This window comes from Homo sapiens, chromosome 20, assembly GCF_000001405.40.
Source record: "Homo sapiens chromosome 20, GRCh38.p14 Primary Assembly".
NCBI classification, from domain to species: domain Eukaryota; kingdom Metazoa; phylum Chordata; class Mammalia; order Primates; family Hominidae; genus Homo; species Homo sapiens.
This window is the reverse complement of record NC_000020.11, coordinates 22,467,533-22,491,401: the sequence shown is the minus strand read 5'-3', so window position 1 is coordinate 22,491,401 and position 23,869 is coordinate 22,467,533. Positions and strand designations below refer to the sequence as shown.

The following is a 23,869-nucleotide window of genomic DNA, read 5'->3' as shown; positions in this document are numbered from 1 at the left end:
ACAGGGGAAGAGAGGATTATGGGCTTTATAATCACACATTTCCTAGCCTTGCTTCGCTGAACTCAGGCAGATGCTTTGCAGAAACGTGCAGGATTCCAGGCAGGTGGGTGATCAACCAGAACAAGGCCTAAGGAGTGGGGGCACAGCGGGCAGCAGGAGGGAGCTCAGGGGGCAGGCAGGCTTCAGGTTGATGGCAGCACCTGGGTCCAGGCTGGGCTCTGGGCTCTGCCAGGGAGCCTGGAGCCAGGGGTCTCATTAGTACCTGGCTAGGACTGCAGCCGGCTGATGGCAAATACAGGCTATCAAAGCCCTGTCAGCACTCCTGAATGGGACAAAGAAAAGGCGCATTAATGATTAACTCTGCTAAAAGCTCCGGCTTTTGTATTCCCATGGTGCCTGGCCTATCTGGCTGCCATGTGACCGGCCCGGGCCATTTTCTCGCAGATTGGGGAAAGCTAGTGAGCAAACACAGGTGGTTCTGTGTCGGCCGCGCTGTCAGGGACAACCGCGGACAGCACCAGCTATGCCTGGTGAAATTAGCTGCTGTGTTTGCCTCCAGTTTTGCTTCCTGGTGCTCTTACTTTCTAAGTCGAATGTCATTTTGCCACTCATTTTCAACTATTCACAGGAGGTGCTAAAAAGGGGGAAAAGGCCCCCACGCAAAAATGGGAAAGGGAGACACACAACATCATGTTCTTTGAACTCTGCAATAACGTTTGGCGACCAAAGGCGAGGGCAGGGTAAACTAATTAAAACCTCTCAGGTCTTTAACTTTCTGCAAGAGCAAATTTATTCTTCTCAAAGGGAATTATTTTAGTGATCCTGACCAAATAAGCAAGCTACAACAATGACGTCATAAGCCTGCTGGCATGGACCCAGCTCGGCTCCCTGTGCCATGGGGCCTGGAAGAACCTGCTTTTTAAAATGGGCCGTGGCACTAGCGCCCACCCGTACAAGCCGGGCAATGAGAGGGTGCCCTTCCAAGTCTGACCCTGCCTATTCGTGGTTCAGAGTCAAGGTCCCTCTAGTGGCATTATTTGTTTAAATGCATTTCTTCCTTGGTCTACATCAGACAGACCTTCTTTTTCCTGTTCAAATATTTATATGTGTGTATTATTGCACGCGGCTTCAACTGCTCCCAATCACACCAGCGGCCATAAAGCACAGATTATCAGCATGAGGTGATAAAGGCCCTTTGAGTCAACACCAGAAATGAAGAGAAAATGAAATAAAGTTATAAAAAGAGGACAGCATAAATGTCTACAAAGAGTATATCAGTCTGCAGATATTCAAGCAATTAGCTACAATAGGAAAGACATTTTATCCAAACTAAAGTACCGCTGACATGATTAACAACGTTTGATATTTAAATATAACATTCTGCCAGATTCCCAGTTAAGAAAGAGGGCACTTGCGAAGTCTTTGGATTGGAATGCAGTTAGTTCAGTGTTAGTGAATATCAGCTCAAACACAGCCGTGGTGTGTGCTGCGTTGCTTTCCAATGGACGCTGACCACAGAATAAATGTGAGCAGTCTCTAGCCCCAAATGGCAGGGTGAGGCTGCTGTAATCTCTCAGCGCTGTTGGTTTGAGGTTTGTAGTGGTGTTTATTCTTGCTCCTTCCTCGTGGTTCCTAAACTTTTGATTTTTGTGAAATGAAGGAAATATGGTTATAGGCCCCAGCTGCAGGGGAGACTTGGTTGCCCCTGGGTATAAGCACCTCAGTGTGGATTTCCATGTCATCAAGCAATTTTAGCAGATACATTTTTTTGAAGGGGGCTGACAGTAATTGGTTTTTCTTTGCAAGTGCTGATAGGCAGGCAGTGGTGTCACTCTTGCCCGAATTACTTAGAGCACAAGCATCATACATAAAAACCCTTTATTTATTTGTTTATTTATTTATTTCAAACCAAAAATAAACAATTATGAAGAGCATGTGGCCAAAATGAAAACTCAGCTTTTGGTTTATTTCCAATGCCTCCTTGCTCTCCAACATCTTTATGTTGTTTATCAAAACCATAAGTTAGTTCTGTGAAAATCAACATACTGACAAACCTTTAACTAGATTGACCAAGAAAAAGAGAAAAGGTGAACACCATCAATCAATACCAATTTTGGCCATATCCCGGGCAATAAAACAAATCTCAAAAAATTATAAGAATTGAAATCATAGAGAGTGTGTTCTCTGACTGCAATGTAATAAAAATAGAAATTAATAACAGAAAGATAAGAGGAAAATCTTCAAATACTTGAAAACTAGACAATACACTTCTAAATAACACATAGGTCAAAGAGGAAGCTCCAAGTTAAAAAAAAATTGAACTGAATAAAAATGAAAATATACATCAATGTTTGTGGTACACAGCTAACGTGGTGCTAAGAGAGACAGACATTTATCATTCATAGTACTAAGTGCACACATTAGAAAAACAATTCTCAGCTCAATAATATAAGCTCCTACCTCAAGAACCTAGAAAAAGAAGAGCAAATAAGTCCAAGGCAAGAAGAAGGGATAAATTAATAAAAATACAGTCAGTACTGAATGAAAGTGAAAGCAGAAAGCAATAAAGAAAATCAATGAAAAAAAGAGTTGATTCTTTAAAAAGATTAATAAAACTGACACACCACTAGCAAGACTGACAAAGAAAAGGAGAGAAGACACAAAATACCATCTCAGGAGTGAAGCAGGAGAAATCACTACAGACCTTCCAGACAGCAAAGGATAGAAAGGAAATACTATAAACAACTCTACACACATAAGTTTGACAACTTAAATGAAATGGGCAAATTTCTTGAAAAAAAAAAAACGTAATTTACCCAATATGAAACAGAAAATTTGAATACTTTTATAACAATGAAGGAAATTGAAATTTTAATTTAATAACTCCCCAAAAGAGAAGTCTCCAATCCCAGATGGTTTCAATGGAGAATACTACCATATGGGTACAGCAGAATTAACACCAATTCTATACAATGTCTTCCAGAATAGAGAAGAGAGAAAACACTTTCCAATTTATTTTATGAAACTAGTATTACCTTGATACCAAAACCAGACAAGGGCAGTTCAAAAATAAAATTATAGACCTTCATGAATGTAAACAAAAAATCCTTAACAATATATTAGCAAATAAAATGCAGTGATAGATAGAAAGAATTATACACCACTACCAAATGGGTTTTATTCCCAGGATAGAAGGCAGGTTTAATATTGAATGTTAATCAATGCAGTTCACCATACTAATAGATTGAAGAAGAAAAATCACGTGATTATATCAATCTACAGAGAAAAGCTACTTGACAGAATTCAGTGCCCATTAATGATAAAAGCTCTCAGAAAAATAGGAAAAGATGACATCCTTAACTTGACAAAGACCACTTACAGAAACCTACACCTAGGATTACTTAATTGAGAAATACTGAACACTTTTCCTAAGATTGGGAACAAGGAAAGAATGTCCACTTTCACCACTCTTATTCAACATTCTGCCAGAGCTTCTAGCCAATGCAACAAGCCAAGAAAAGTAAATAAAAGACATACATATGAGAAAGAGAGAAAGAAAACTGCGTTTATTTGTGGATGACATGTTTGTCTATATAAAAAATCTGAAGGAATCTGTAGGAAATCTCTTAGAACTAATAAGTGAGTTCAACAATGCAGAATACAAGATAAATATAAAAAGGTTAATTGTATTTTTCCATACTAGCAATGAACACATGGACACCAAAATTAATATATAATATAATTTACAATTGCTCAAAAAAAGAGAAATGCTTAGGTATAAATGTAAAAAAACATGTAAAGGACGTTTATGCTGCTGCCTACACAATGCTGGTCAAAGAAACCAGTGAAGAGCTAATTGAAATCAAGGACACATCCTGTGCTTATGAGTTGGAAGCCTCAACCTAACAAAGATGCCAGTTCTCCCCAGATTCACATACAACTTTAATGCAATTCCTATGGAAATATCAGCAAGATGTTTTTCATAGATATGAGCAAGATTATTCTAAAATTTATATTGAAAGGCAAAGGAACTAAAAATAGATTAAACAATTTTGAAAAACAACAAAGCAAAAGAAATCAGTTTATTGGATGTTAAGACTTACTATGTAGCTAAAGTAATCAAGACTCTGTAAAACTGGCAAAGAAATAGACACAGAGATCAATGAAACAGAATGGGAAACCTGAAAATAGACCCACCCAAGAAGTCCCAGAAATTTTTGCACAGTTGCAAAAGAGATTCAGTGGAGGAAAGATAGCCTTTCCAACAAATGGTGCTGAAGTAATTGGACATCCATTGACAAAATATGAACCTTGACCTAAGACTCAAAACTTGGACAAAAATTAAATCAAAATGGACTATGGGCTTAAATGTAAAATGTAAAACTATAACATTTTTAGAATAAAACTTAATATTAAATCTTAGGGATTTAAGACTAGGTAAAAAATTCTTAGACTTCAAACCAAAAACATGATACATAGAAAGGAAAAACATAAATTTGGCTTTATCGAAAAAACTTTTCCTTTATGAAAGACTTGTTAAGAAGATGAAAACGCAAGCTATAGACTGGAAAAACAATAATTGCACACCACATATTCAGAGAGACTAAAATATACAGTATATAAAGAACTTTTGCTACTCGGGAGGCTGAGGCAGGAGAATGGCTTGGACCCAGGAGGTGGAGGTTGCAGTGAGTCGGGATCACACCATTGCACTCTAGCCTGGGCAATAGAGAGAGAGAGTCAACAATAAAAAACCCCAACAATTCTATTGGAAGTTAGGCATGAAAAGACATTTCATGGAAGAGGATATGTAAATTGCGGATAAAAAAATTAAAAGGTCATCATGGATTAACTAAATCATTAGCCATAAAAAGATGCAAATTAAAACTACAGTTAGGAATAGTAACAATGACGAATGCTGTTGAGGATGCAGAGAAACAGAATCACTCTTCGACTTCTAGTGTGAAGGTTAAATGGCACGGCCGCTCTGGAAAACAGTTTAGCAATTTCATTGAAAGTAAACACATTACTACCATATGACCCACCAATTGCATTCCCAGATATTTATAGCAGAGGAATGAAGACTTATATTCATACAAAAGTTAAAATGTTTGTGGCAGTTTTATTCATAACAGCCCCAAACTGAAACAACACAGATGTCTTTCTAATAAATTAAGTAAAATGTGGTACATTCATACGATAGAATATTACTCAGAAATAAAAGGGAATAAAATATTGATACATGAAACAACCTAGAAGAATTCCAGAGAATTATGCTGAAGGGAAAAAATTCCTTCTCCCAATATTTTATACTGTGTGATTCCATGACTATAACATTCTTGAAATAACACAGTTATAAAGAGGACAGATTAGTGTTGCCCGGGGTTAAGGAGAGCATAGGGTGGAAAAGAAATGGGTTTGACTACGAGCAGACAGCATGAGGGACCCTTGTAGTGACAGAAATGCTTTCTATCTTGACTCTATCAATGTCAATATTGTGGCTAGCATATTGTACAATCATTTTATAAGATGTTACATTGGGGAAAACCAGACACAGAATATATGGAATCTCCTTATATTATTTTTGGAAACTGCATATGAATCTACAATTATCTCAAAAAAGTAGGTTAGAAAAATCCTTTGCCAAGTTTTTAAAAAGAGAAGCTTTTAAGTTTTTAAGCCAGAAAATATCTGCACTAAAATGTAAAGAAACAACTACAGCCAATGTTCCTAATGTCACCAACTGGCTCTCGGGGGGCTCATAGGTGCAGCCCCCAGGATTCCTTCCACATTACCTCTCTTAAAGGACAGACAGACAACCCAGGCTCTCTCCAGAATCAAAGCAGATCACAGAAATAAGCAACTGTGCAATTTAATGTCATGATAATTTGTTTTGAAAACAACAGGTTAGTCACAGTCTGTACTAACCATGAATTAACCACTTTAGGTTTAATGAATAAAAATACCCTTCTCGGGATGCATAATCATGATTTTTAAATAAGAATAATTTAGCTCACCAGTTGCATAGAATCAAAACAGCAGTATTAATGCTACAGGAAAGGTTATCAACAAAAGCAAAACATCAGAGAAAGAGTTGGTGGTGAATCAGTACATAAATATCTGTTTCTTTTTAATTTAAACCATACCCACTTCCAGTTAGGAACTGAGGCAGTCTCAAATATTAAAACACTCAGGGACCATAGTTCTCCTTTCGTACGTCTTTTGTATATTGCAAATCAAGCCAATATTGTTGGTTTCTCTCTCGTCTTGCCTTCCTATCATTGAAAAAAAGAGAAAAAAAAGAAGGGAAAAAACCCTTCAAACAATGGAAGGTTCATTTGCAGCTTGTTTTCCAGGCTATTTAGGTAGACATTTTTATTTTTAGTTGGGATTCTACACTTGGACACTGCCATTTTCTTTTTTATTTTTATTTGTTTGAGATGGAGACTTCTTCTGTCGCCCAGGAGGGAGTGCAGTGGTGTGATCTTGGCTCACTGCAACCTCTGCCTCCCAGGTTCAAGCGATTCTCCTGCCTCAGCCTCCCAAGTAGCTGAGACTACAGGCGTGCACCACCATGCCTGGCTAATTTTTGTATTTTTAGTAGAGACAGGGTTTCACTATGTTGACCAGGCTGGTCTCAAACTTCTGAGCTCAAGAGATCCGCCCACCTCCGCCTCCCAAAGTGGTGGGATTACAGGCGTGCACCACTGCTCCAGGCCTGCAATGCCACTTTCTAATGACCTTATGAATCCTTCTGTTAACTCCACATCTCACTCTGCAGTAACCAGTTTGCTCCCTGATTGGCTGTCTGAGGATAAGCATCCCTTAATATTCCAACTAGCTCTGAGTATGGTAGCTGGCCTCTCCTTAGCAGGGGGTCCCCATGCCTTCTCATAGCTCACGGCTTCTTCATAGCCACCATAGCCCTTGGGGTCTCATGAGCCCCACAAAGGTTCGAGCTCCCAAGAGGAGCCTTCTCCCTTTGCGAAAGTGTAAGAAGGAAAGTGATATGGTGTTAATCAATACGCCCAGTGATAAATGTTTATCTTGAACAGAAAGCAAATAGAGGCAGGTTAGCGAGCCCTTTATTGCCTGCAGCCTGGCCAGAGCCACCATCAGCAGCTGAGTCTTTTCCAGGTCATATGGCAAAAAAGTTTAGCAATCAATTTTTTTTTTTTTGCTGGAGTGCTGAGGACAGCTAGGGAAAAAAATTTACCAAGCCTAGTATTTAGAATGTATTTACTCTAAAATTTTCATGAATGTTTGCATGCGTGTGTTTTCAGAGGCATAAGACCAACCTTGGAAGATTTTGCTAAGGTAAGCCCTAAAGTACTCACTAAATTAAGAGAGAGATGGGGAGACAGGGAGAAACAGAGGGAAAGAAGTGGGGAAGAGGGAAAGAGAGGGGAAAAAACTGATTTAAAAGTAGTGCAATATTGCCTAGGAAAGCTCTCCTGTCTGCACCCTTTGGGTTCTCTCTAAAGCAGTGAGTCTCAAATTTTGCAAGACTCCTCCTCCCCTGGAGGGCTGGTTAAAACATGAACTGTTGGGTCCTGTTCCCAGAGTTCCTAATTCAGTTAAGTCTGGGTTAGGAACAAGAACTTTGGGCCATTTATGATGAGTTCCCAGCTGAGGCCGATGCTCTTGGTCAAAGATTCCTGCTTTGAGAACCGCTGCTGTAAGGCATGGTTGCTCTTCCTGGGTTATCTAGTTGAATGGAGATTTCCATCAGTGGTTCAGCTGATGTTCCTGAGAATGAGCACATTAAGTCTCCAATGTTTTCCTGAGCTGAGTGGAATCTCCTGGACTAGACAAAATGATGGGATAATGAACCCATATTTGGCAGCAATTGGAACAGCCATGCAAGGTCAAAAACGAAGCTGTAGCAGATACAAACTTCGGGCAGAGTGACCACTAGCTCAAGGAAAATGATGGGCCATCACAAGGTCGATGAGAGACCACAATGCAGGGAAGCTGTTGTGAATATTCCCGTTGAGGATCCCTTTAATGTTACAAAGTTCAATAAGAAAGCCAAAGCCACCTGACCATTTGGGCAAGTAAATTCTAATTTAGGCTGAGCCATGCAAGAAATGGGCAGGAAGAGAATTACAAAGCCAGGAGTTCACAATAGATTAACTTATTTAGTTCAATAACCCTTGTAAGTGGGGTTACTATTCTAATGTTAGAGATGAAGGAACTGACTCTCCCAACATCACATTGCCTGAATATGGCAGATCAAAGATAGAACTCAGGTAGCTGATTCCCACTCTTCCTGGCTACAGCACATTCTCCTTAAAGATTATAATCATCCAGTGGACATCTGCTCCCAAAAAGAGGAGGCCTGAAGTATCCCCAGGGATTCCTAGGATGAGAGAGAAGAGCTAAGCAGAGCTGCCCACTATCAGAAATCAGAATGGCATCTATTGACTGGCACAATGGGCCCAACCACCTCATTATAAAATCAGTTGAGTGCAAGAGATGTGCTTGAAGAGTGACCAAGTAAGGATTTCAGTACCCTGGGAAGCAGCTTCTGAGATGGAGAGAAAATTGCTTAGGAGGTGTTCTTGGGGGGCAGTAGTCATAGAGGCAAGGGAGGGGGAGGAAGAGAACTGGGCAGAGGAAGCGTTGAGAGTCCATTCAGGCTCAAGGAAGCCTCAGCCCACTCCTTGGGCCCTCTGAAGGTGGGATGAGCCTTCAGTGCTGTCCTTGGGAGGGGCAGGCTCTTTATGGACCCACATGGCTATGTCTTTGAATGTGAGGATCCCGGGAGGCGAAGGCATGACCTTGTGTGAGGCAGCTTTCCGTCCCTAAGGCAAATTAAATGATGTATTACAGAATCTGGTCCAGTTCAAGGGATCCAGCATTGGCACAGATGGATTTTGCATGTATCAGAGGCCTTCATTCAAAATTACAGTTGAACTCAAATTTAATTTCAACCCTGGAATAAGCAAGCTGAGGGTAAAAAAAATTCACTTTGACTTAAACAAAAAAGAAACATGAATAGCTCTTACTGAAATTGGCCATATTGGCATCTTTAGAAATTACAATCATAAATGCTTGTGGCAGAGGCTGTGTTAATTCCCTGAGATCCTTTCACCCTCAGTCCCCTACAATAATATATCCCCAGTTTTTTTTTAGCAAGTTATTTATGTAAAAGACTACATTTCCTGGCCTCCTGTGGGGGCTGGGTATGAACATGTGAACAAGATCAGGCCAATGAACTATAAACAGAAGTGTCACATGGCAGCTTTGTAGGTCCTTTCTTAAAAGACAACTGACGAATCCTCTTACCTGGAAAGGGGACATGGTGTTGCCGTCTTGCATCACGAAGATCAGGGCCATAACTTACAGACAGTTGATTAGTGAGCTGCAAGGAATTTTTGGAGAACAACTTGGATTTATGTGAGAGAGAAAGAAGCTTTTGTCTTGTTTACTTCATCCATTGTGGATCTCTGTTAGTTGCTGTCAAATCTAGCCTTAAGTAATATAAATGCACAAATGTTTGACTATTTTGAGTATTGATTTTTATGTGTGTTCATTTTTCAGCATGAGAATGGCTTACTCCAAACACACATAGGCCACAAACACACACACGCAATTATAAGAGATTAGTGATTATTATTCACTATTTGGCAGCCTTACTTTTTTCAGACATTTTGATGCCAATATTAAGTACTTTTTATTGGCTAAGTCCAGTACAAAATTTAGAAACAGCAATGTATCATCGTGTAGATGTTCATTTCATTTAAATGAATGGCACTATGAACAAAGTACATCTCTGCAGTACATGGAAAACATATGGGTGTTAGTCTACAAGGGGATATTAATTTTGTACTTTCCATCTGGCATCCATAAAAGATTCATTCTCAGAAATAGTAAAGATCCAAGGTCATACTAAAATATCACATTTGCCATGAAGATGAAGGTCTTATGATGTTTGAAATTAGGAGCTATCACACCTACAGTAATTCTGAAAAGACACAATACTGCCTCCTGGTCTCCCAATTGCATAAAGCACTGACATAATTAAAGCTTGTGTGTGTGTGTGTGTGTGTGTGTGTGTGTGTGTGTGTTTGTATGTGTTTGTATAAATTCTGAGATGGGTTGTGGTGCCTAAAAGCCATTTGAAAAATCACTGAGATTCAGGAAGTAGTATTTAATCTTCATAATCTTATCAGTGACATGCTAATTAGCTCTCTTCATTAGCAATTCAAGTGTTAGAGGAAAGCCACTGAATTACCTGGGGAGGGTCACTCTGGGATGTGACACTGACCCTATCAATTTTTAATGGCAGCACACTTTTATTTTAATATTTGTGTTGGACCAATTCTGGTGAATAGGATGTACTCCTGTAGAAGAAAAATCTGGAAAAAAAAACCATAAATCTTAGGTTTTAAGAAAATGTGTAAGTATGTGAAAGTAGGTGGAATAGAAGAGAGGTTTAGCCACGGTGTGGTGGGATTCACCAGGTTTGGGTTCAAATGTTGGTTTTCCACTTACTGGCTGAAGTGGGGCGGCTGCTGCCTTACTCAGACCACCTGGCCTACCTTTAGGGTTTGTTTTCCCTCTCCTAGCTTTGGTGTGCCTTTGTTTTCAACAGCCATACCTGTGATTCTTTTCTTACAGCACAGAAAGAGCTGAAATGCCTAGGGATTGTACATGCCCCAGAGGGACCTGGGGCCACCCCACCTCCTGTTGGAAGACACTCTCGGAGATAATTTACACCCACTTCCCCTGAGGATCAGGATGAAGCCACCCTCCAGGGAATTTTTCCTGACATCTCATCCTTGCTATCTTCCTTCCCTTTCTTATTCTGCACTCGACTCTCTAATTTCCTCTGGGAGCACTTCCTTACTAAATTACTAAATTACTTGCTCATGAATCCTTGTATCAGAGTCTGTTTCTGGGGAACAGGATGTGAGATAGTTGCTCTGTGATGTTAGGCATTTTTTCTCTTCTATTCCCTCAACTGAAGACTACAGGCAATAAGTGTCTTCACTTCATGGGGTTCCAGTGAAAGTTAGGCAAGACAATGTGTGTAGCCAGCGCCTGACGTGTGTTTAGAGTATGATCAATGTTACCCGGAAGGAGCTCGCAGAGAAAGAGGTGGCACTTGTTTTGTTCATCTATATCTCAGCCCCTTTTTCTTTTCCTTTAAAGCACATACTGCAACTTTTAATTTTTTTAAACATCTGCTTGATTGTGTTTAGTTCATGCCTCTCACTGAATGGTAAATTCTTGCATGGCAGAGACTGTACCTCAGATGACCGACTGTCCCAATTTGCCTGAAACTGAACTGATTTTGATACTGAAAATTCTGTGTCCCGATTTACCCCCTTAAGTCCTGGGTAAATCAAGATGGTTGTCAGGCTACAGATTTCTTATTTATAGTTGCATCTTACCATCTAAGCACAGCAACAGCATATAGTAGATGAAAATACTTGATAAAGTTTTGATAAATGAATACATGTGACTTTTTTTTCAAGCTTTTATTTTAAATTCTGGGTACATGTGCAGGATGTGCACGTTTGTTACATAGATAAATGTGTGTCATGGTGGTTTGCTGCACAGATCAACCCATCCATCACCTAGGTGTTAAACCCAGCATCCATCAGCTATAGCTATTCTTCCTGATGTACTCATTCCCCCACTCTGACAGGACCCTGTATGTGTTGTTTCCCCACCATGTGTCCATGTGTTCTCATCATTCAGCTCCCACTTATAAGTAAGAACATGAGTGTTTGATTTTCTGTTCCTGGGTTTGCTGAGGATAACAGCCTCCAGCTCCATCCATGTCCCTGAAAGGAATGTGATCTTATTTCTTTTTATGGCTGCATAGTATTTCATGGTATATAAGTACCACATTTTCTTTATCCAGTCTATCATTGATGGGAGTTTGAGTTGATTCCATGTCTTTGCTATTGTGAATAGTGCAGCAATGAACATGTGTGCATGTATCATTATAATAGAATGATTTATATTCTTTTGAGTATATACCCAGTAATGAGATTGCTGGGGCAAATGGTATTTCTGCCTCCAGATCTTTGAGGAATCACCACACTGTCTTCCACAATGGTTGAATTAATGTATACTCCCACCAACAGAGTAAAAACATTCCTTTTTCTCTGCAACCTCACCAGCATCTATTGTTTATTGACTTTTTAATATCCAACCATTCTGACTGGCATGAGATGGAATCTCATTGTGCTTTTGATTTGCATTTCTCTAATGATCAGTGATGTTGAGCTTTTTTTCATGTTTGTTGGCTACATGAATGTCTTCTTTTGAGAAGTGTCTGTCCATGTCCTTTGTCCACTATTTAGTGGGGTTGTTTGTTTTCTTTCTTGTAAATTCATTTAAGTTCCTTGTAGACTCTGGATATTAGGCCTTCGTCAGATGGATAGATTGCAAAACTTTTCTTCTTATGACTAACCAGTTCTCCCAGCACAACTTATTAAACAGGGAATCATTTCCCCATTGCTTGTTTTTGTCAGGTTTGTTGAAGATCAGATGGTTGTAGGTGTGCAGTCTTATTTCTGAGTTCTCTATTCTGTTCCATTGATCCTTGTGTCTGTTTTTGTACCAGTACCATGCTGTTTTGGTTACTGTAGCCTTGTAGTATAGTTTGAAGTTCAGTAGTGTGATGCCTCCACCTGTGTTCTTTTTGCTTAGGATTGTCTTGGCTATTTGGGGCTTTTTAAAATTCCATATGAATTTTAAAATCATTTCTTCTTATTCTGTGAAGAATGTCAATTATAGTTTAATGGAAATAGCATTGAATCTATAAATTACTTTGGGCAGTATGGCCATTTTCATGATATTGATTCTTCCTAACCATGATCATGGAATGTTTTTCCATTTGTTTGTCCTCTCTGATTTCTTTGAGCAGTGGTTTGTAGTTCTCATTGAACAGGTCCTTCACTTCCCTTGTTAGCTATTTTCCTAAGTATTTTATTCTCTTTGTAGCAATTGTGAATGGGAGTTTATTCATGACTTGGCTCTCTGCTTGTTTGTTGCTGGTGTATAGGAATGTTTGTGATTTTTGCACATTGATTTTGTATCTTGAGACTTTGCTGAAGTTGCTTATCAGCTTTAGAAGCTTTTGGGCTGAGATGATAGGATTTTGTCACCTGCAAACAAAGAAAATTTGACTTTCTCTCTTCCTATTTGAATACTCTTTATTTCTTTCTCTTGCTTGATTGCCCTGGCCAGAACTTCCAATACTATGTTGAATAGGAGTGATGAGACAGGGCATCCTTGTCTGGTGCCAGTTTTCAAAGGGAATGCATCCAGCTTTTGCCCATTCAGTATGATATTTGCTGTGGGTTTGTCATATATGGTTCTTATTATTTTGACATATGTTTCTTCAATACCCACTTTATTGAGAGGAGAGTTCTTAACATGAAGGGATATTGACTTTTATCAAAGGCCTTTTCTGTGTCTATTGAGATAATCTTGTGGATTTTGTCTTTAGTTCTGTTTATGTGATGAATTACATTATTGATTTGTGTATGTTGAAGCAACTTTGCAGCCTGAGGATGAAGCCCACATGATCTGGTGGATAAGCTTTTTGATGTGCTGCTGGATTTGGTTTGCCAGTATTTTATTGAGGATTTTTACATCAATATTCATCAGAGATATTGGCCTGAAGTTTACTTTTTTTGTTGTATCTCTGCCAGGTTTTGGTATCAGGATGATGCTGGCCTCATTGGATGACTTAGACAGGAGTCCCTCCTTTTCAATTTTTTTGAATAGTTTCAGTAGAAATGGTACCAGCTCTTCTTTGTACCTCTGGTAGAATTCTGCTGTAAATCCATCTGACCCTGGGCTTTTATTGGTTGGTAGTCTGCTTATTACTTCCTCAATTTCAGAACTTGTTATTGGTCTACTCAGGGATTCATTTTCTTCCTGATTAAGTCTTAGGAGGGTATATGCGTCCAGAAATTTATCCATTTCTTCTATATTTTCTAGTTTATGTGGATACGAGGTGTTTATACTATTATTTGATGGTTGTTTGTATTTCTGTGGGATGAATGGTGATATCCCCCTTATCATTTCTGATTGTGTCTATTTGATTCTTCTCTTTTTTTCTTTGTTAGTCTAGCTAGTGGTCTATCTATCTTATTTTTTTTTTCCAAAAAACAGCTCCTGGATTTGTTGATTTTTTTAAAGAACTTTTCATGTCTCTATCTCTTTCACTTCAGCTCTCATCTTGGTTATTTCTTGTCTTCTGCTAGATTTTGAATTTGTTTGCTCTTGGTTCTCTAGTTTTTTAGTTATGATGTTAGGTTGTTAATTTGAGATCTTTCTAGCTTTTTGATGTAGGCATTTTAGTGCTATAAGTTTTCCTCCTAAAACTGCTTTAGTTGCGTCCCAGAGATTCTGGTACATTGTTGTTCTCATTAGTTTCAAAGAACTTCTTAATTTCTGCTTTAATTTCATTATTTACCCAGGAGTCATTCAGGAGCAGATTGTTCAATTTCCATGTAATTGTGTGGTTTTGAGTGAGTTTCCTATTCTTGAGTTATAATTTGGTTGTACTGTGGTCTGAGAGACTGTTTGTTATGATTTCAGTTCTTTTGCATTTGCTGAGGATGGTTTTACTTCCAACTATGTTATCAATTTTAGAGTAAGTGCCACACATGATATTTTATAACATGTTTTCTGATCTTTTTTTTTTCAGAGAAATATTCACAGACCCTGAGGAAGGCAAAATAATGGTCTCCCCACAGATAGCCACATCCTAATCCCTTGTACCTGTGTCTATGTCAGATTACAAGGCAAAGGGGATTAGGTTGCAGATGGAATTAAGTATTACCTTTCAACAGGGAGATGATCATGGATTATCTGGGTGAATTCAATGTAGACATAGAGTTCACTATAAGTGGAGGAGAGAGACGGGAGGGTTCAGAGGAAGATGTGACTACAGAAGACAGCACAGAGAAGACCCCAACCCCTGCCCCTCTCGCTGGCTTTGAAGATGAAAGGAGAGAGTCACAAGCAAAGCAACAGGGGAAGCTTCTAGAAGATGGAAAAGACAAGGAAAGGGATTCTACTCTAGAGCCGCTAAAGGAGAAAGCATCCTTGCCCACACATCTCAATGTTAGCCCAGTGAAACTAATTTTGGCCTTCTGACTTACAGAAATGTGAGACAAGAAATGTGTGTTTAAAGCCATGACGTTTGTGGTAATTTGTTACAATAGCAATAGAAAACTGATACAGACTCTTTCAAGATCCACTGAAAGTTACACAAAGTTCCTGCAAAGGAAAAATAAAATGCATTAAATTTGGGGAGATCCCAGACCATGACCTCCAGGTGAAGTGTCACAACTCTGACATGGAGAGCCATATTCTGGATGGAAAGCAAGATGGGCTCCTTAAAAAACCGTACACATTGCTGGGCTTCAGATGCTTGGCTGCTGGGCACATATGCAGGTTTATAAAGCAAGTATCTGGGCTGACTTCCACAGGCAACCCTCACAGTGTGTGAGATGCCATGGTCAAGCATCAGAGAGCACTGGCTTGGAGGGAGGGTATCAGTTTCTCTTTTCTTTATAGTAGTGTATAAGTTCCAGTTTCCCTCTGTCCAAATATGGAGTGAGTATTTTCAGTTCAGAATTTCAAGTTTCAACTCTCAGAAAAACACTGTAGTGGGCACTGTTGGACCAGCAAGATGGAAAAGGCAGGGTCTTTCATGGTGTGATCCTCAGGGTTAGTTCTGATGGTGACCAGTGTAATTGAGGCCCTGTCCATGATGGACATGGGGGAGGTGGATGCAGACCTGAGAGTTCCAGAAGTCTTGAATAGGGTCATGGGGTATTGCAGGTACAGACTGCGGTTGGAGCAAAGGCCCACAGTAGGAAAGAACCAAATGTCTAAATAATATCCTGTGACTTTGTACTGTAAGTAATGAGACTGGTATCTAAAAGAAAATAAAGGCAATACAATGTAAATATAAATCTAAGTGGGTGTTATTCCTTCCTGTGGACGTACTTGCATTCACTTATCCTATGTGTAGTTTATCCATGAAACGTGAATCCCCTCCCTGCTATCCAACCCAATTGCCCTCTTGTCGCATTTTAGTTTTGATTGCAGGCACTTTTACCCATTTTTCTCATCTGCATTCTCAAACAGTTGGCTTTGAGTGACTTTAAACTGTTTTAAACAAATGAAGAGCCTCATCATTTTGAGTATCTTTTAGAAGCATCACAGACTTCAAATTTCACAAGCAAAGGCTGTTTTTGATAACACTTACTCTGTTTGACTAGAGAATAGGCCCCTGAGGTTATTGCTGTGAAGGAATTAATATTCATCTCGGTGCAGAAGTTCTGCCTGTTTATTTAAAAACAAAACAAATCACTGTACCTGTGAAATACAATAAATAAAATAAGTAAAACTACTTTGTGAATTGCTTAATAGCATAGCAAATGCTAACTCTGTGGTTAGCATTTATGATTAAATGAAAGCAGATTACAAAAAAGTCTACTGTAATTTTTTTGTGGTTAAATTTGCATACATATTCACAGAAGTCTACATATACATTCTTATATGTAGAATACCAAAATAGCAGTATTCCTGAGTGTTAGCCATAATTCCTGAGTGGTGGTATCATTTTTCATTTATCTGTGATTTCTCAGCTTCTTCAGTTAATATTTGTATACCTGTAAGACTTTTCCAGAAATCCTGAAAAGACATTTGTAGTCCCGTTTAGTTTCTTCTTATACTTCCTACTGGGTAGATTTTGATAGTTTTTAATGGTTTTGTTTCAGTTGATTTTGGGGACAATATTATTTCTAGGACTTCCCGGCCTGAAGTCTCCTGGTAGCTACTTATTTGTGCAACAGACACTGTGCATTATCTCCATGTGAAGACCTTTGTAGAACTCAGCAGATGGGCTCCTGCTGTTCCAGCCTCTTGTTCTCCATGGTACAGACACAGCCAGGCATATCCTGGGAAAGAGGGCAAGAGGAGTTTCAGGAGCAGCTCTGGCACAACTTAGAGTGACAGAACACAGGTCAGGTGTACACTTTGCCTTATAAGAGCTGATTACCCACAGCTCTTTCTGTACTCAAGACAAGGGTGCCCGTACAAGTGATCAAGTATTAAGAATGTATTCCCAGGGGAAGTCGATGAGGAAGGGGAAAAACCAGGCCAGGAAGGGAGGAAGCCAAGAGAGGTGTTATCTCAAAGTCATGCAGAGGGGACCTTCAGCCTGACCCTGCAGGGACTCTGGTATGTAAGGTACTTGTCCCACTGCAAGCAAGGTGGCTGTGCTTTCATACCCCACACTGCCAATCACTGTCTATGGCTTGCCCCAGGTGGGGTATAAACTTTCAGGCACTTCTGCCATCTGCATGAGGAGGGCAAAGGCTTCTGGTGGCCAAGGGCAGAGCCCCAAAGGAGAGCCTTAATGCTATCATTCCTCTTTGGAAAGGAACACACTGATGAACTTTAATTCCATGCACCAGGTATTCCAGACATCTCCAGCCTGTGTGCTCACACATTGTCAGGCTCCGGGGGATTAAAATCAATGCAGACTTCTGAGTGTCTTTCTCCTGAACTTGATTGTAAACAACAATGCAAAGTAAACTAACAAATAGGAAAATGTTCAAGTAAGACAGTGTGTTCATTTATTCTTGGGCAATAATTCTTCTTGTTATAGTGCAGTAGCATAGGCTTAGGAAAGAAACACCTGGAGCCTCCCCTCAACAGAAATATCCATCAGTTTGAACTGCAACTTAGAATGGCTGATTAGACTGCTTCCTTGCAAGAATTCTGAGGCCAGGTGTGAATTCAGAGGGAGAGATGGGCATGATTGATTAATGATGTCTGCTAGTTGTGACTTTAGAGAAGATGAGTGAGATTGACTAGTGATGTCTTCCAGGTGTGAATTTTTAGAGGAAGTTGGGGCAAATTCAGAGGGGAGATGGGCATGACTGATTAGTGATGTCTTCCAGCTGTGACTTTAGAGAAGGCGATGAGTGTGATTGATTAGTGATGTCTGCCAGGTGTGAATTCACAGGGGCAGTTGGGGTGAATTCAGAAGGGAGATGGGCGTGATGAGTCAGTGATGTCTGCCAGGGTCCTGGGAACAGAGAGTTGGGCCCATGGACCAGGTAGGTTCCATCCCTGCTTTCTTTTGTAGTTAAAGCTCATTAGGGCAAATTTACCACATAGTCCACACCTTAGCTGAACTTGGTCAGGAAGACATTTCCTTTTCCTTTTTTTTTTTAAAAAAAATCTCTCTTTCCCTCTTTCTCTCCCCCTCCCCCATTTTATCTCATTTTGGTGCTTATAGGTTTTTATTCTATAAACACTTTGCCGTCTTTGTGACACGGACTCATTCAGGACATGTTTACAGTACTTAATGACATCTCCCTGAGAAATAATGAGAATGCCTTTAAAGGTTGTCTTCCTCCCCGTGCGAGCAGAGGGACGCACGCCAGGCCTGCGAGATGAGAGCCGAGGGTCTGGCGGGGGGAAAATTGACTTAATTTCTTTTCACCACATGAAATGGAATGTCTGGGTGATCTGACCTAAATGCATGGCCTAAAACCAATTAATTCTGAATTGCGAATTTGTGAGCGCATCAAGTTGTGCATGGAATTTCCGATGAACCAGACAACGCATACCTGCCTTGTTTGCAAAATGTGGAGATTTTTGCACATAAATTTGCCTAATGGTCCATTATTAAAGTGCAGCTTCAGTCATATTGTACCTCAGCTCGCGGGAAGACGTGTAGTGGTTCCCCGTGCCCTTCCTGTGGAATTCAAGTCCTTGGTCTGTCTTGCCTGGCCCTTAGCAGTGTGGCCCCGGCCTCTCCTCAGTGTGGGTGAACTCCCCCTACGGGTCAGGGTCCTTTAATGCTGTCATCAGAGGGGACCTTACATCCTGCTGCAATGGCTCTGAAGCTAGGCTTACACTACAATCCCTATGCACAGGGGGTGAGGTGCCGAGCCACTGTCATCATGGAGTTTGGGAGAAAACGCGCAGCTCACCACCCCCAACCTGGCCTTGACGCTCCCACTGCCGTGCAGTTACTCATTCTCTTTTCTGTGCCTGTTAGATTAACGCTCATTTCATTGTAATCGGTTTAATTCACCTAATGTTCATTGAGACTACTGTGCATGTGACACCGATTTGTTTGTGGGAAACAAAAATTAACCAGACATAGCAGCTGCTTAAATGACCAAATTAGAAGAAGTTGGCAGGAAATATAAATAACTATAATAAACGTTTAATTTGGTGACTTACAATAGAGCTATAATTAAAACACTACGAAAACACATAGAAGGGAGCTTGGTATGTGTTTCTGCATGTGTGTGGTGGTGTGTGTGGTGGTGTATATGGTATGTGTGTGGTGGTGTATGTGTGTGTGGTGGTGTGTATGGTATGTATGTGGTAGTGTGGTGTGCATGTGTTGTGCAGGTTGTGTGTGTAGTATTAGTGATGTGTGTGTAGTGTGATGCATGTGTGCACGGGTGTGCTGTGGTGGAGATGTGTGTGTGTGGTGTGTATCTGGTGTGTGTGTTTGTCTGTGGGGTGGGGCGGGCTGGGTGCTAGCAGGCTTCCTGGGAGAGAAGAGTGGAGTCTGAGAAGTGGGTGTGGCATCTCTGAGGAGGCGGGGTGGAGAAAGGGTGAGGGTGGCTGCGCACACATACAAACACACTACCACACCCATGGTTGTGGGCTGAACTGTGCCCCACTCCACTTCTAAATGTTGAAGGCATAACCCTGGTACCTCAGAATGTGACCTTATGTGGAAAGAGGACCTTATGTCGTTGCAGATGTGTTTACTTAAGATGATGTCATAATGGAATAGGGTAGGCCCACTCCAAGGTGACAACATGCAGGGAGGACGCCATGTGCAACCGTGGGCAGAGGCCGGGCTGATGGGTCTACAAGCCCAGGAAAGTCCGAGATTGCCAGCAAAACACCAGAAGCTGGGGGGAGGCATGGAGTGGGTTCTTAGAAGGAACCCACCCTGCAACACCTACATCTCAGACTTCAGCCTCTGAAACTGTGAGACATAAAATTTTCGTGCTTTAACCCACCCAGTTTGTAGAATTTGTTACACAGCCATGGCAAACAAATGCACCCAATGTCTAAAAGTCCTTTGATTAACGACTCACAGTTATCCTTTGAAAATTCCCAGAATAAAATGCAAATGTCAAGACTCACAGGAGTCAAGATTCAAACCTTTTGTGTATTTTAAGCATCCACATTTCACTCTTTTTGTTAAAATAAGAAGAACCATTCCAGGTCCAACTGTCTTCTGCAGACCTTCTGTGTGGAATCTTTTCCTGGAGTTGGAATAGCAGACTTGGGGATGGTGCTGTGGGTTTGTTTGGTTTATTGTTGAAATCCCAAGAAAGAACTTTCATTTGCAGCTGGTAAGTTGGTCTGAAGTCCCTTTATCGTCACCTGACCCAAGGCACATTCACCCAGACCCCAGACTTAAGCTGGCTAAAAGTCAGCTGGACTCTTACCTACTTTGTTGTTCCAGGAAAATGTGTTTTGTTTTGTTTTTGGGTTGAGTTTCACTGACCCTTCTCTGCCTCCTCCCTGCTCTATTTCCTTTTGGAGGGAAAATTATTTCAGAGATTTGCTGGATTTACTCATGAAGACTCCACCAATAAATTCCTAACTCAAAAGATTAAAGACATTTATGTACAGCATACAAAAAGAAAAAATCTTGCTTACATCAGAGTCCTGCTGTTTGTATAGCTTAATCAAACAGAGAATAATGTTTGACAGACAAGGACTAACACAGACATTTTTTGTTTTCTAAAACAAGCCTCAATTACTCAAAAAATGTTGCCTGCTTGGTTGGCTTTAAATGTTTTGATCTCCTTCTGATTTATGGCAGTCCCATGTATAGAAATAGATCTCCCCTTAACCACCTGTAAGCAGGTGTATCCCTTTAAGCACAGTTGCTAGGACCTGGGATTCATTCATCAACTGCAACTACTTGGAACCAGAAGCATTCAGCATCTTTTATCACTGTGACCCAGTCAGCAGGTCTATTTCATTATAAATATTCAATTCTATATAACCACGACAAAAGAAAAAAGGAAATTTAGGGAAAGACGACCAGGATCTGAATTCAGAGAAAAAAAGGAACAAATATTTATGAAATACCTATTTTTGGACCAAAACTGAGGGAGGCATGTTTCTTTCTTTTTGTTTTGTTTGGTTTCTGATGCTTGAAAAAATTAAGTGTGACTTTGAGCAAATTACTAAATCTTTTTCTAAAAAACATCATCTGTAAAAGTTAAACACATTAAATAAAAATAGTTACATAATGCCAACTTGTATTTATAAAGTGACTGATTTTCTTCTGTCATATTTTTCATGATTTACATTTTACAATATTCTTTCAAGTTCTTCAACTCCATTGCTTAGAAGATACTTTGAATTTTGTTGAACAAATAAATAAATGCATGACTAATTTGTTTTAAAAGGTGTGATGGTGAAGCATCATGGTAACTCTAGGAGATATAACTGAACACATACCCAGGCTTGGTGTCTTCTCATGAAAGATAAAGATGGCTTTTTATCATTTTTCTATTTTCCTTACAATCAGGAAACTATCTGTATTGTTTTTCATAAAATTTAAATGCTTTCTAAACATGCAAACCTAAAATGTAATAAAATATTATGTAGGTAAGTATTATGCAGGCTTTGGTTGCGATTTAAAGCAGCACAGCACTATAAATAAAGATGTGTATTATCTGACGCAAAAGCAATTTCAGGATATTCTGTAGAAATCACAAGGGAAGGCGAGTGCCATCTTCTATTCAACATAGTCATTTTTAGCAATTTTCCAAATGAGTGTTGTAAGATTCACCAAAATCAGCAAGATTGCCTAAGGGAAGTAGCTTCTTAGCATTACCGAGTTGAGAAACTGAATGCCTCTTAGCGAAGTTGACCAACTCCAACAGCCACCGCTGACAATGCTGTGTTTTCAGGTTGTGATTATTAACGGCCTGGAATTTCCAAGTTTAAGCATGTCTTCTGCAGTTGGAGGCCTCTCAGGGCCTCTGCCCTTTGTCTGAATTAGACATAGAAAACTGTATCTAGGAAACTTTCTCTTACTCTAGGAAGCAACAGCAACAGGTCTTGGAGATGATAGATGTGTTGCAAGCTCTGGTCTTCCAATTTGAGAATCAGTAGGAGTGGTGGTTGTAATACATCCCACCCTAGTCTTCCTCAATGAGCAAACAGATGGAGTGCTCCTCCTCGCAGGGCCTGACGGTGCGATGGGTGGGGCATCTCGCCAGCACATCCTCCAGCTCCAACTGACCCACCCTGGGGGAAATTGAAAGATAGCATCCAAGCTGCAGATCCTGCCATGGATCAGTTCTGCACTATTCCTGCAGAGCAGGGCTAGGGGCTGTTTGACTTGCTTTCTGTCTGCTCCTTTGGGCAGCTCTCATTTGCTTGTGAGTATTAGAGAAACCTTGTATGAGACAGATGTCCTCAGGGTGTCACATGTGCCCGCCCCTTTCTGATGCGAACACCTAATCTCAGAAGCCCCTTGCTTAAAAAGAGAAGGGGCTGCTTAGATGAATGTTTATTAAGACTAAGCTTTCACCCCACTCTGCAGACTTGGCTGAGCCGGTGGACAAGATTTCAGGAAGGAACTAAGCTCTGAGCTTTACTGATAGGCTGGTATGGAAAACCTTTCTGGACTCCTTAAATATATCCTTCAAGATTTTGACATTTCTCTGATTGGAACTGACAAATAGATCTTGGTAGGCCAAAGGTTCCACCCTTCACTCTAAAGCTAAGTTGGGTGAGTACTTGAATTTCGGAGTCCTCAAATTCTTTGGTCTTGAGGCTTTTTACGTTCTTAAAAATTACTGAAGTCCCCAGAGAGCTTTTACGTATGTGGGCAAAATCTATTTATATTTACCATATTAGAAATCAAAATTGAGGAAATATAAAAATATGCATTTATTAATCTTGAAATAATAATCAACCAGTTAAATGCTAACATGAATAACATGTTTTTAAATAAAAATAACTATTTTTCAAAACAAAAACAATTCTGGAGAAGAGTGATGTTTTTTACATTTTTGCAGATCTCTTTAATTTCACGCTTAAAAAGACAACCAGATTTTCGTATCTGCTTCCGAGTTCATCTGTTTGTATTATATTATTGTGGTTGAAGTATAGGAAGAAAACTATACTGATTGTTGTTGAAAAAGGAAATTTTTAAATAGTGTTTTCAAATCAGCTGTGGATATTCTTTTTTGATGCCATACCAAACCCCAGTAAGTGATAGTTTCTTTTTTTTTTTTTCCTTTTTTTTTTTTTTTTTTCCTGAGACAGAATCTCACTCTGTTGCCCAGGCTGGAGTACAATGGCACGATCTCAGATCCACCTCCCGGGTTCAAGCGATTCTCCTGCCTCAGCCTTCCAAGTAGCTGGGATTACAGGTATGCAACCCCACGCTCAGCTAATTTTTGTATTTTTTAGTAGAGATGGGGTTTCATCGTGTTGATCAAGCTGGTCTTGAACTCTTGGCCTCAAGTGATCCGCCTGCCTTGGCCTCCCAAAGTTCTGGGATTACTTACAGGCATGAGCCACTGCAACCAGCCAAGTGATAGTTTCTTGGAGGTGAATTGCAATGGGACTTCCAGAAAACATGTCATATTTCTATGCTTGTAAAATGTTCTTATTAAATAAAGGGTTTATTCCATTGTGATTATTTAAAAGAGAATCATCTTTTCTGTATCAGAGTGCCGAACATGGGCCTCAGCGGGCACAGCACAGCCCTTCCAGAACTCCCACCCGACATTTCCAGAAGCCTCCCAGATCTAGATCTCTCTCCCCTACACATTCCCCTAAATGTTTTTAAGGG

The 23,869-nt window shown here is 40.1% G+C and overlaps 1 long non-coding RNA gene across 2 annotated transcripts; it reads left to right on the top strand.

Annotated features, from left to right (window-relative positions):
- Nucleotides 1-19,863: 19,863 nt before the first annotated feature.
- On the top strand, nt 19,864-23,375 carry LOC105372563 (uncharacterized). Of its 2 annotated transcripts, none has more exons than XR_001754711.1 (3): nt 19,864-20,022; nt 22,610-22,798; nt 23,338-23,375. It is a non-coding gene; the product is annotated as an uncharacterized LOC105372563 (long non-coding RNA). The 2 variants fall into 2 exon arrangements; XR_937339.3 differs by lacking the exon at nt 19,864-20,022 and adding an exon at nt 20,039-20,393.
- The last annotated feature ends 494 nt before the right edge of the window (nt 23,376-23,869 follow it).